The sequence below is a fragment of the Homo sapiens genome, chromosome 1 (assembly GCF_000001405.40).
Source record: "Homo sapiens chromosome 1, GRCh38.p14 Primary Assembly".
Taxonomy (NCBI): Eukaryota; Metazoa; Chordata; class Mammalia; order Primates; family Hominidae; genus Homo; species Homo sapiens.
In genome coordinates this window covers 212,522,480-212,536,578 of record NC_000001.11, presented here as the reverse complement: position 1 = coordinate 212,536,578, position 14,099 = coordinate 212,522,480, and the positions used below count along the sequence as shown (strand labels likewise).

At 43.0% G+C, this 14,099-nt stretch overlaps 1 annotated feature.

Moving 5' to 3' along the window:
- Positions 2,628-5,175: an enhancer, noted in NCBI's record as "VISTA enhancer hs2089". NCBI's record gives its function as "enhancer in: neural tube[4/10]" and the evidence as "EXISTENCE:transgenic organism evidence [ECO:0001131][PMID:17130149]".

Below are 14,099 nucleotides of genomic sequence, written 5' to 3'. Positions count from 1 at the left end.
ATACCTATTAAGCATCTGTAATGAGAAGGTTCCTTTGCAAGTTGTAAGCAGATTGGTGAGTGGACTTACTATAAATATAAATAGAACCCAGTCCTTGCCATTGGTGCAAGATATTAGGGGAAATAAGGCACAAATCTTTAAGTTATAAAGCCATTAAGCTGAACTTTGAAAGAGGAAAGAAGGCTTTCAATGAACAGACCACATGGGATTCCAAGTGGAAAGCATAACTTTGGGTAAAAAAGCATGGGACGTGTTTGTGAACACAGAGTAATTCTGTTTGGCTGGAAGGCAGGTAAACATGAAAGGGGATTAGGAGGTAAGACCAGAAAGAAAGATGGGAGGTCAGGCCTCAGATGGGGTCTTGAATTTTTTTTTTTTTTTTTGAGACGGAGTCTCCCTCTGTTGCCACTTGCCAGGCTAGAATGCAGTGGCGTGATCTTGACTTACTGCAACCACCTCCTGGATTCAAGCAATTCTCCTGCCTCAGCCTCCCGAGTAGCTGGGACTATAGCTGGGACTACAGGTGCAACACCATGCCCAGCTAATTTTTGTATTTTTAGTAGAGACGGGGTTTCACCATGTTGGCCAGGATGGTCTCAATCTCTTGACCTCGTGATCCGCCCATCCCGGCCTCCCAAAGTGCTGGGATTACAGGCATGAGCCACTGAGCCTGGCCTTGAATTCTTTACTGCAACTAATATAAGAAAGCAGCCTTACAGGAATATTCGTCTGATAGCAGCATTTGGGCTGAGTTGAAACGTGGAGAGACCGTTAGGAGGGGCTGTTAGGAAGCTTGAAGAACAGGGAATAGGGACCTGCCCTGTGCTGGAGAAGCCTTGAGAGGCACTGCAGAGGTGGGCTTGACACTTTGGCACCCAGACAGTGCTTGGCCTTTAGTAGATGGTCAATAAATATTCATCAAGTGAATGAATAATTTTCCTGTCGTCCCTTTAAAATAAGTTCTCAGAGCAGCATCTAGCTTTCTTTCAAGCACTATTTACATGTGATCATCAACTTTTTTGTGAGATTGTTTGCTGAATGTCTTTTTCTCCCGTTAGACCATAAGCTCACCAGGGGAAAGACCTTATCTCTCTCTCTCTCTCTCTCTCTCTCTCTCTCTCTCTCTCCTCTCTTTCTCTCACTCTCACTCTTGCTCTTTTTCTCTCTCTGCTTTAATTTTTCCACACTACATCCCCTGAGTCAGGCATATAGTAGGCAATCAGTGAATGCATGTTGACTCTGTAATTAGTCAACTCATTAGATATGGGCTTAAGAGAGATGGAGGAGTGAAAGATGGTTCCGTTTTAAATCTTATTTCAATGTTAGTGGCTTATGTTCTTTTACAAATATTAATAGGGAAGTTAGGAGGAGGAGGTGGTTGGAGGGACAAGATTATTTGTTCTCATTTTAACCCCTGCATTTGAAAGACTAGGAGAATCATCTAGATGAAGCCATCCAGTAGACAATTGAAAATATGAGCCTCAGCAACATGGTAGAACTCCATGTCTACAAAAAACAAAACACAAAACAAAAATTAGCTTGGCATGGTTGTATATACCTATAGTCCCAGATACTTGGGAGGTGAGGTAGGAGGGTCACTTTAGCCTGGGAAGTCGAGCTGCAATGAGCCATATTGTGCCACTGCACTCCAGCCTGGGCAATAGAGCAAGACCCTGTCTCTAAAAGAAAAGAAAATATGGGCTGGGCATGGTGGCTTACGCCTGTAATCCTAGCACTTTGGGAGGCAGAAATGGGTGGATCATCTGAGGTCAGGAGTTCGAGACCAGACTGGCCAACATGGTAAAACCCTGTCTCTACTAAAAATACAAAAATTAGCTGGGTATGGTGGTGCATGCCTATAACCCCAGCTACTCGGGAGGCTGAGGCAGGAGAATGGCTTGAACCCAGGAGGTGGAGGTTGTGGTAAGCTGAGATCATGCCATTGCACTCCAACCTGAGTGACAAGAGTGAGACCCTGTCTCAAAAAAAGAAAAGAAAATATGAAACTAGAACTCTGTAGATAATTTAGTCTAGGGATAAAGATCTGGACTAGGATAACATCTGCATGGAGGTGTTAATTGAAATAGTAGGGGTACTTGAGATCATCAGAAAGGAAATACAGAAAATGAAGAAAAACAGAATTGAGGAGAAATCTTGGGACACACCTGTGTTTTAAGTAAGGCACAGATGAGCCAACAAGGAGAGAGAAGTAAGTTAGTGAGAGGTGAGAGGCAAACTGTTTTCCAGTCACTCCAAAGGTAAGGGAAGAAAATTTTCAAGGCAGTCGTGAACAGAACAGCTGCATCAAACTCATTAGGAAGATTAGCAAGGATAAAATTCAGGAAAAGCTATTACATAGCAGTGAGCAATTTCAGAGTTTGCATAAGTGTGCAGGGAGCATGGGAAGTGAAATCAGATTTAAATGGACAAGGTATGAGATAAAGGCAGTAGATACAGATTACTCTCTCATGAAATTTGGTGGGAAGGGGTGGGAGGAGAGAGAAAAGAGTTGTCTGACTTGTTGTTTTTGTAGACACCCATTATTAGGTAAATAGTTTGCCCAAAGTATTGAAACTACACACCAGTCCAGGTTAGGATCTGTCTGTCACATAACTTCCTATGACATGTTCTGTTCTTGAGGGCCAGTCAACAAACAGTTGCTAATGACCTCCCAAAGCAGCAGCGGAAACTGGGAGCTGTGGAAGGAGATGCAGAGGTGCAGACATAAAAGGTGACGAGACAGTAGGTGGGAAAAGACCACATATGTAACACTCACCTTTCTAGAACAGGAGGAAGGAAAAGAACTGTGCCAAGAGTGGAGCCAGAATTAATCAACTGGGTTCACCAACATCATTGACCATTGTTCTGTGCCAGGTTTGGTATCTGGGTAAAGGAAGAATTGGGGGAGGGATGAATCAGGTCTCTGCCTAAAGGTGGGATCAGTCTACTTGTTACAGGTGGAGGGTGTCCAAGTTCTTGGCATTTTGAACAAAGAATTGGACAAAACACACAAAGCAAGGAAAGAATGAAGCAACAAAAGCAGAGATGTATTGAAAATGAAAGTATCCTCTACTGGCTGGGAATGGGCCCAAGCATAGGGGCTCAGGAGTCCCCTTAGAGAATTTTGGGGGGTTTAAATACCCTCTAGAGGTTTCTATTGGTTACTTGGTGTACACCCTATGTAAATGAAGAGGATGAAGTAAAGTTACAAAGTTACTTACTCCGCCTGCGCCCTATGTAAATGGAGAGGATATTTCCTGGCATAGCTGAAGTGTTTCCATTTGATTTAGTTCTAGGAAGTCCTTATGTTCTCTGTCTCCAAACCCTATTCTCCTGCCTCATACTGACAGGTTCTTAACTGGAATAATGAGGGGCTGGAATAAAAGGCGAGGTATCCATCCCTAAGCTGAATTTGAAGGTTGGCTTGAAGGAGTCAGAATGAGTAAGAGAAGGCAACCTTCAGCCTGGGGACAGACTTGAAGACAGCGCAAGCATGAGGACTGCCTTCTGTGGGCAGTGAAATTGCCTGGCTGTAGGGGCCTAAGGGCAAAGGAGGTTACAAAAGTGATCTTGAAAGGCATTCGCTGACCTGTGGAGGGAGCTACCCCTCCTTAAAGCCTGAAGAAAAAGTTTATTTTCTGCTCCTTCTCTGTTGCTCCCACACTATTTCTCTGAGCTGGAGGTGGAAATAGACTTCTGTGTCATGATCACACTACTAGTTAAGAAAACATTTTCCACCAAAATAAAAAAATAAATACAATCTCATAAGATCCAATCTTCACAGATCTTCACAATGTATGATATTCATTTGAAGGACACTTTCCAGACCATGCAACATCCGGCCACTCACCTTTTTAGAATAGGAGGAAGGAAAAGCTCACCATAGTCATCAGAATCAACCCACTCTCTCACCCACTGATTGCAAGGCAGATGCAAACAGCCTTCCCAGATGCCCTGTCATCTTGTGTCATCTTTGTCATGAGATCTGGGACGGCGTCCCTCAAAGACACATGTGACTTCAGACCTTCTCCTGCCACGTAGCCCTCATCATCACAGTTGTAGTTTTAAAGAAACTGGTTGAACTTTGTCCTTCTTAATACCACTCTACATCAGACCCTTTTCTTAAGAGCCACTTAATTTCTAATACTCAGCTTGTTTACTACATGATGAAAAGCCTAAAGATACAAGGAAAATAGGCCTTCCAAAACTTAATGAGAGCATAGTTATAAAGGGTGACTTTATAATTCTACAAAGGGCTGTTACTTCCTGAGGGCAAAACAAAGGGAAGCAGAAAAAGGAGATCCACTGAGGCTGAGGACTGTAGGTGCACATGGCAATTTAGAGGACCAATGGGAATTCCTTCCCACTATGATATTCCAGAATGATTATCCTTGAGTTTAATGCAGTATTTTGCACATCTTCCCTGATTAAAAATTTACTAATAAGTGCAAATTTGCAGAAAAGTCCTGAGGGCTCAGAAACTGTGTAATCAGTATGAGATATTCACAGAGGAATGGCAAAGGATCCTGTCATCCAAGGAGTCTGTAATAACCATGAAATGGATGGGCTAACAGCTGCTCTCTGGAAAATCATGACCACTCCAACAGAGGGGTCAGTCAGGCTCATGAGTTTTGAAACATCCACAACGTGACATTTCCATCCACTCTGGCTTGGAAACTAGCTTCTGGAAGCTCTCTGTCTAGAAATAGACAAGTTCATGTTCACTTGGGAGTTTTAGTCTATAAAATCAGGGAGCAGATATAGGAAAATGCCTAATATCTAGGAGCAGAAACAATATAGTCTTCTTAGGCATCTCAGTGTATTTATCTCAACTGGCCTCTGTAGAAGGGACTAGGTGGGTGTGTATTTGTTTTTATTCTTCAAACTTACCAAACAATTTATATCAATGGCTCAAGAACAAATGGTGTAGTTGTGCTACAGTGATAAGCACTCTGGAGATAGATGCAAAGAACAGTTTCTTTTGGCATAGTTGTTTTTGGGAACTGTAGCCTCGTGGCTCAGGTATGCAGGTTGCTGTGAATGAGACGAGTGATACACTTTGTTAAAACTAGCCACTGTTCCCAGGTAGAGTTTGGATTTGGATTTCCTTAACAGAGACTGAAACCAGGAAGAATTCTCACTTTCATTTACAACATGGCATTTCCTGATTCCTTTACTTTATTTTTTTCTCCTTTGATTGTACAACAAAATGCAGTCATGTTTTGGTATCTGTGGGGGATTGGTTCCAGGACCTCTGCAGATACCAGAATCCTCAGATATAAAGTCCCTGATATAAAACGCACATCCTTCTGTACACTTTAAGTCATGTCTGGATTATTTGTAATACCTAATACAATGTAAGTTCTAAGTAAATAGTTTTTATACTGTATTGTTTAGGAAATAATGGCAAGAAGAAGGTCTGTACATATTCAGGACAGGCATGCTCTTTTTTCTGAATATTTTTTATCTGCGGTTGCTTGAATCCACTGATGTGGAACCCATGGGTAAGGAGGGCAGACTTATTTGGGATAGTCAACCATAGAGACTCAAGGTTCTTCCTCGCTTTGTGTTATGAGTTTTTCACAGGCGCTTCATGTTTTACAGAGGAAGCAGAACCAGAGAGAAGACCACACATGCGAGAGGAGGTCATATACACATGTTAATCCCTCAGTCATTCAACCTGCCCAATCACCACTAACCTCTCCATTCCACAGACTACCCAGTGACCTTGTGCTATGTATTTTCTCCCCAAAATTGGTGCTTGAAGTTTATTTTAACCCAATTTCACCTAGATACAAAAGTGTAATTGAGAAGAAAGCCCATTTCTAAACATGAGAACTTGAATTTTCTTTAATGACTCAAAATTTTTCATTTATTTGATACACTTGCTTTTTCTATATATGCTTATTCTATATATGTTAAAGCAATGATTAAAGTAAAACATGAACACATTCCCCTTTTTAAAAAGTATTAGAACATCACAGATAAAGCTAAGTGCTCTTTTCCTATAATAACATAATCACTCCTTATCTCCACCTACCTCCTTTCCATTTCTTTCTCTCCCTCTCTCCAAAACTGCCACATATAATCAACTTTGTATGTAGTCTCACAGTCCTTTAAAAAAATGCTTTTACATCTGTGTATGTCCAAAGGAGATATGCATTACTGATTTTTATTTTTCAAGAACTTGAATTTTTCATACTGTCCAAATCTAGAATTTAGGGACCAATGGAGATGTAGAAGGGGAGAGGTTTGCTCTGAGTGAAGCTTTCCCCATTCTCAAAAAAATAAAAAGGGGGGCAACTCTTGGGTTTGCTTCAACCACTGGGTCAAGTCTGGGGTCCTAGGGCTTTACCTTACCACCCACTTCAGTGTAAGCTTGATAAATCCACAATGGGAGTTTCTGAGTGATTACCAAGGTTCTCAGCTACTCAGTTTCCACCAGTGTGAAAGTGGGAGCAATGTTCCTCCTCTCTTGTGGTTATGATGAGAATCATGAGTGAAGGTGTTTGGCAGTGCCTGCCACGGTGCTTCTCGAGAGTCTGCTTTGTCTGAGAGCCTCGGTAATCTCTCAGAGACTCCTATTGAGGATTTATCAAGCTCACACTGAAGCGGGTGGTAAGGTAAAGCCCCAGGACTCCAGACTTGACCCAGTGGCTGAAGCAAACCCAAGAGTTGCCCCCTTTTTCTTTATTTATTTTTATTTTTTATTTTTGAGAATGGGGAAAGCTTCACTCAGAGCAAACTTGTCCTCTTCTACATCTCCATTGGATCTGGACAGTACGAGAAATTCAGCTCTTTGTCAGCTTCTCCTTGAGCTGCCGAAGGCACTCTTTCTCCTGAAAAGTGCTTGTGATGCTGCAAGTGCAGAGTGACACATTGTCTTAGTATCCCGAGAAGTACAGCTAATGGGAAATGACTTCAGTTTACTGCATCTTCTAGTAATCCTGTGATGCCATCGCAAAACAAAAAGCACATGACTACTCGTAAGCCCACTGCACCTGAAAAAGAAATTGGATTCTACTCGGAAAAACAGGCTGTAAAGCTAATCGCTCTGATCCAATAATGTGGCCCTGCAGAGTGGCATCATCTGCCCAGAGACACAGAGAGGAGGAGGGAGAGCAAGGAGGGAGGGAGAGCACTTGGGGAGGCAGCTGCCCAGCTCTTCAGACACTCAAGCCAATAAAAAATTCATAACGAGATGTTTTATAGCCAATGTCTAATACCCCTGCTGGGTCACAAGCATATCTGAGCCAATCAATAGTATTCATCATGCTGAAAGGAGCTAGTGATTGCATGTTGATGAGAACTGGGAGGTTTTCCAAGCCAAGGCCAGTTTCTGGTTACTTGGTATGTGTCACCCTTAAAAATATAGAACTTATTTTGAAAATGGAACCCAAGACCTTTTAAAAAATACAAAGTGGGGAGAAGGAGAGATACTTTTTAAATCTAGGGGGAGGGGATGTTTGAATTCTTTTTAAGTCAACCCAAGGACTACTTTTAAACTGGAACAACTTTTTTGTTTCAATCCAGGTGGCCATTCCTTGTATATGATTTCTTTTTCTTTAGCTTCAGAATTTTTTTAATAACACTTAAATAACAGCATCTGTGATAAACTCCTTCAAATACAAACGGGAATATATGACAATGAAGTCATAAGAACGAAAGTAAATGGAGTCAACTTTGTCATTACATACCACTACATTCCAGGTTGATTTTGTCTCTAAAAGCTTTTAAAATCATAGCAACTTCAACTTCAGTTGCTTGCTTAAGGGTTTGCTTTCTACACAGGCAGTGATGGAAGGGCAGAGTGAGGTAGAGAGACAGCAAGATGAGACTTACAGGCTGTGTGCTCACCATCTGCTGAGGATTTCAGGGGAAACCACACTTTGCCATGGTCAGATGGGAACAGCTGAGGGAAACCTAAAGCTTTCACATGGGTATTCCAGGCATGGGTAAATTATAGGCCTCCCTGAGGTCTTCAAAGCAGATCACATTGGACATCATCTCTTCCACTCCCACCAAAATTGTTTTAACAAATTTGAATGTTGAATCCTCGATGTTGAATTAAACATCAAGAGCTCACAAATGGAAAGTCTTGGAAAATCAACTCATGAGCTGGCAAGACAGGAGAGGAGGAGGGTCCATGGGATGAGGAGAGGTTCATCCTTTCCCTGGCAATGGTATCAGGAAAAAGCTGTGCCTTGCAACTTTGTAAGCAAATAAGATCTCTTTTCATAGCTGTAAAGGTACCGTTCAATGTGTTTGAAATACAGAAAAGTAAAATCAGAAAACTAAAATTATTCATGAGCCTCACATCCTGAACAATCCACTGAACAAGATGGTAGATTTTCTTGTAGACACACACACACACACACACACACACACACACACACACCTCTACCAAATTGGCATCTTGGTATATACAGTTTTATATTCTGAGTTCAATGTATATTTATTTTGTAATCATTTTCACATCTCAAAATAGTCAGATGTGGCATCTTATTGTCCAGTTAGAACCGTACTAAAGGAATGTGTCGTTAGGCGCCATTCCTCTATTGACAGACAGACCATGCATTTTCAAGCCTGGGACTTTGTTGATGCAGGCCTATGGCATGGCCTGCCTGCCCTCCCACCTGTGTCCAGTGAACCCTGCATTTCGTTCCAATGCCAACTATGCTGAAGCCTGCTCCATTTCCCTGGTTGGAAATCGTCATTGAGGAATCGGGTTTTGGGCCTTAGAGGCTGACAGTCTTGGGCTCCATACCTGGAGCAATGCTTACCAGCTGTGTGACCTTGGGACACCTGTTAACTAAGTTTCAGTTTCCTCACCTATACAGTGGGGATAATACTCCCTACCTTCAAGTGTTAATATAATGATTGAGAGGAATGTATGTGTTCGTTTTCTCCCCTCCACCCTTTTTTGGTTTTCTGGTTTGTCTCCAGAGCAGCTATAGAGTAGTGGTTAAGAGCTTAAGTGAGCTTGAGCAAATAACCTAGTCTCTCTGTGTCTCAGTTTCTTCATCTGTATTATGGGGATAATAGTACCCATCTCTGCAGGTTTTTAGAGAAGATTAAATCAGATGCTCAATGTAAGACCTCTTTTTTTTTCTATGAAAATGCTTTAATAGAGGTGTCTTCACGGCATGCAATGTGAAGACACGAAGACCAGCAAGTGCACACACAATGACAGGTGGCTACCAGAGAAGAGTTTGTGGGTGAATAAAGAGTTCTCACCGCTTCCACCCTTTGCTCAGTAACAGAAGGTTGTTCCTCCTCAAACTATCTCTCCTCAGCCAAGGTATCCTGGTACTGTTGGTGCCTGGCACAAGTAGGAGCACAATCCATGTTGGTTCTTCTTCTCTTACAGGCCCTTGCATGGGTGTCCTTTTATTGTCATCAGAATGTGGCTTTGCAGTGGACAGTAAGGTCTTCCCTGTTGGCTGCCTCTTGGGGTCTCTGTCTGGTGAGCTTCTGAGTAACCCAATGCCTGGGACTGGGCCCTTTTTCCCTGCTAGCCATACCCTACAGAAGACTCTGGTCACTCAGACATCCTTGCAATCCCTGCTTGATGGATACCCTGGAATGGAGGAGCCCTTCTGAACTAGTAGCCTGAAATGGGAAGAACCTCCTTAACCACTGCTCAGTAACTAGGTATCAAACCAAAGAGGAAAGTTTGGCTGTGAGAGAACTGCCAGAGAATGGATTCTTTTCCCGGAAGATGGCCCTGAGAAGAAGGCTCTCTCCAAAAGTGCCATGTACAATCAGCTTTGTACATAGTCTCACAGTCCTTTAAAAAAATGCTTTTACATCTGTGTATGTCCAAAAGAAAAATGCATTATTGATTTTTATTTTTCAAGAACTTGAATTTTTCATACTGTCCAGATCTAGAATTTAGGAACCAATGGAGTTGTAGAAGGGGACAGGTTTGCTCTGTGAAGCTTTCCTCATTCTCAAAAAAATAAAAAGGGGGCAACTCTTGGATTTGTTTCAACCACTGGGTCAAGTCTGGAGTCCTAGGGCTTTACCTTACCACCCACCTTGACCCCTGAGTGTCCAGATAAACTCCAGCTGCTCACCTGGACTCCCTGGGCCTCATTTCCTCATGGGCAACATGACAGTAACTCTCCTACCTTGTGTGATTTTTTTTTTTCTGTTTCCGTGAGTTCACGTGAAGCACCTGCAGGATAATTCCAGGTCTGCTCCCATGGCTCTGAGGCTGCTGGGAGGGGGTTAGAGCCACAGCTGTGCTGTGACCTGGCCAGTACCAGTGCAGGGGAGGCAGAGCATGCTGCCGCTCACTTAGGAACCCAAGCAGGTCGCTGGCATCAGGCACCAACCCTGGCTGGCAACTGAGGCTGCTGCCTCTGGCCTGCCTGGCTCAGAGGCTGGCCAGACCTGGGCCTAGCGGTGGATTTAGCAACTGAGCTGGGGAAGTAGAGAGAGATTGAAAAGTGAGGAGGGGGCTAGCATCAGAGGCCAAAAGGATAGGAAACCAGGCCAAGTGAGGCTTGAGCACCCAGCAGGATCCTCAGGCAGGAGACAAAGGTTTGGTCTTCTTTTTCTCAAGGGCAGGTTTGGACTCTTCATTTGTGGGTGGTGACTCATCTCCACAAGGAGTTCTTGCGGCTCTATGCTGGTGTGCCCCACGGTCACTCAGATCTCCATTCTCACACTGTTGTATTCACAATGGCTCCCTAATGCCATGGCAGGCCCCCAGCCTGGTCATTTTCAGGGGCTAGAGGTGCTTACCCCTACACACACATTCCTTCTTTTCACACCCAGCTGGCTGTTCTCTCCGGAGCTTTCTCGTTGCCAAGTCCTGTCCTCATATCTTGGTATTCACCTTTATTGGAAAGTACATCATGTTCAATATTATCCTGTCATTCACACTTGCAGCTCAGGGAGATTTGGCAGCACAGCACCTCCTACCCTCTCACAGCTGCCCTCTGACATAGTCACCTCTGCAGCAGGCTGTGTGCTTAATCAGGCTGGGGGTTGCGTTTATTCGTCTTTCTGTCCATCGCAGATTCTAGCTTAGTGCCTGTCCCATAGCAGGTGCTCAGTACACCATGGCTGGGTGTAAGAAAGAGGAGAAGCTGGGCCAGGCACTGCGGAGGGGCCACCCAAAAGCATCTCCCAGCCTTCTTCCCTAGCCTTCTTCTACTAGCATGGAAACAAAGCCTTAATTTCCCAACTACTCTTGCAGCTAGTGAGACAGCTCTGGCCAATAAGCTGTAAGTGGAAGTCTTTGAGGAACACTTTCTTTCCAGAATAAGAGGTAAACTTCTCTAAGAGAATGCCTTGGATCCTTTTGCCATCCCCCTTCCTCCCACCTGGAATGCAGATGTAATACCCGAAGGTGCAACAGTCACCTTGCAACCATGAGGGAGCAAGCCACAGTCAGACTGGCCAAGGGAAAAAGAAGAAAGCACCTTGGTGAACTGATGACCATTACTCCCAGGCTGACCAATTATGTGGAGGTTTCCCAAGATGCTAAAACAGGAATGATCCTGGGCAAATCTGGACATTGGTCACCCTACCCCAGCCCTGGACTTACTGACTCCAGAAACATGTTATACAGTGAGGAAAATAAGCCCCTATTTATCCCAGCCATCCAGTCAGGTTTCTCCATCATTTGTAGTCAAAAGCATTCCTGCACATGAAAAGTTATTATTTCTAAGATTCAACAAACTGGCACATAGAGAGTTGTAGGTCACAGGTGCTAGCTGGCTTCCCAGAGGTTATCCTGGTTGAGTCCAATAATGTTTCTTTATAAAAGTTTAATTATACTCATTTTACAGATGAAAATAACTGAGGCACCAAGAAGTTTAGCCCAACTGGAATCTAAATCCTGTACATTTCATGCCATGCCCTTTCCCTCTGTAAGCCACTGTGACTCATTTACTTTTAGTTCAATATGTGATCATCTAATGTTATCCTAGGCATGGGCCTCATGCTTTTCTGTTGAATAAAATTACTGTGAGACACAATCGCTGCCTTCCTTTTTAGGATTTCTTGATACCAAAAAATCCTAGTGATCTGACTTGTCTTTATATGGTTGAATAATAATGAATAAGTGCATGTGAGAATGATTTACATAAATTTAGAGAATTTTTTAAAAAATTATTGTTGTGGCCAGGAGCAGTGGCTCACACCTATAATCCCAGCACTTTGGGAGGCGGAAGTGGGCAGATCACCACCTAGCCAACATGGTGAAACCCCAACTCTACTAAAAACACAAAAATTACTAAAAACACGCCTGTAGTCCCAGCTACTCCAGAGGCTGAGGTGGGAGGATGGCTTGAACCCAGGAGGTGGAGATAGATATATATATATATATATATATATATATATATATATATATATAAATATATATATATACACACACACCCACATATATATAGTTGAATGGTTCAAAATGTACAAAGGAGAAGGTGGTAAAAAAAAGTCTCCTTCACGATGCCTGTTGTTTTACAGCTGAATACTAGGAAAACTTCCATCAGTTTTAAATGGATAGTTTTGATTGTGGATAACACTGATAGTTCCGTAAATTTGTATTCCGTTTTTGATATTACAGAATACATTCAAAGACACTGTCATTTTCTCTTGCCAGTCGGTTGGGAAAGTTTTCTTCAGATCCCTTTCATAGTCACAGATCTTCCCCTGAGCCCCTTCTGCCCTTGCTCCTGAGGTTGACTTCCCACTGGGTCCCCTGCCCCTTTTGTAGTGATGCTCCTGGGGCCTCCTGGGTACAGCTGTAGGCTCTTCTCACTCTCTGCCCTAAGAACAGGCCTCTCCCAGAAGATGCTGGGGGTGGGCCGCTGAGGCTGTCCTGCTCCTGTAGGAGTGCAGCAGGGGAACCCCTTCAACTAGTATACCTGACCCTCATTTTCTCTTACAGCGTACATATTTATTTACATTTTGCCCTTTAATGTTCATGAAGATTCTATAATAGCACATAGTTTATAATAGCGTGGAAAGATAGTTATTACATTAATTGAAAAAGCATACTATTTCAACTTCATTAAGTAACCAAATCAATTAATTGAATTATTGCAATTACACTAATTGGAAAACATCTAGGTGTATGTATATCTATATCTATATATCATATAATTAAGACCTTCAACAAAACCTATGTTTAGAAAAATTCCTGGAAATAACTTATTCTTTCCTCCCTCTCATCCCAACTGTACCTCTTCCCACAGATTCTCTCGTCTTAGTTGAAATCCACCCAGCTTCCCAATCCAGACCCCTTAGCATTATCACCCTCGACTCCTTTGCTTAGATTCCCACCACCAGCACCCTCACCACCCGCCAATCCTACTGTCACTAAGGTGTGTCCATTCTACCTCCTTAACCCTTCTCCAACCCCACAGCTGCCACCTTAGTCCAGCCCCCACCATCCCATACCCAAGTTTCTGCAACAGCCTTAAATCCAGCCTCCCAGCAGCCTCCAGTCTTATTCTGCTCCAACCATTCTTTACATTTCAGTCAAGTTTCTCTTTCTTTTTTTAAAAAAAGTCTTGCAACACACCTTGCTTAAATTAAAGGTTCTAATTATATCCTACTGTCCTCAGGAAGCAGTTGAATTCGTCTGGAGTTCTGGCCCCTGCTCGCTTCTCTGGCCTCCTCTCTTGCCTTTCCAGATTCTGCTCATGGCCTTTGAGCTGCTGCTGAACCACTTGCATTGAGCCCATGCTGTCTCTCCTCCAGCCCCTGCACAGGCCATTCAGCATGCTCTGCACCCTACCCTCGATGAACTCCTCCTGATCCTCCAGGTCTCAGCCTCACAGACTTCAAGGAAAAAGGTTAAAACAAAAATGTCAACCAAGTCAGCTGAATAGCGATGATGTGTTTTCACTCTCATCTATATATAGCTCAGTCAATTCATCGATCATTCATTGCAGAATCATTAATTCTGTACAATTTATTAGGCATATTTCATCTAGTGGCCCAGGGCACCACTGGTTCTAGGTGAACCTATAGCGAGAGTATCTTTTTGCAGACTTATTCATTCATTCATTCATTCATTCAATATTTCCTTCTTTTGTTTATATTTATTCAACAAATACCATACAAAAATTAACAGAAAG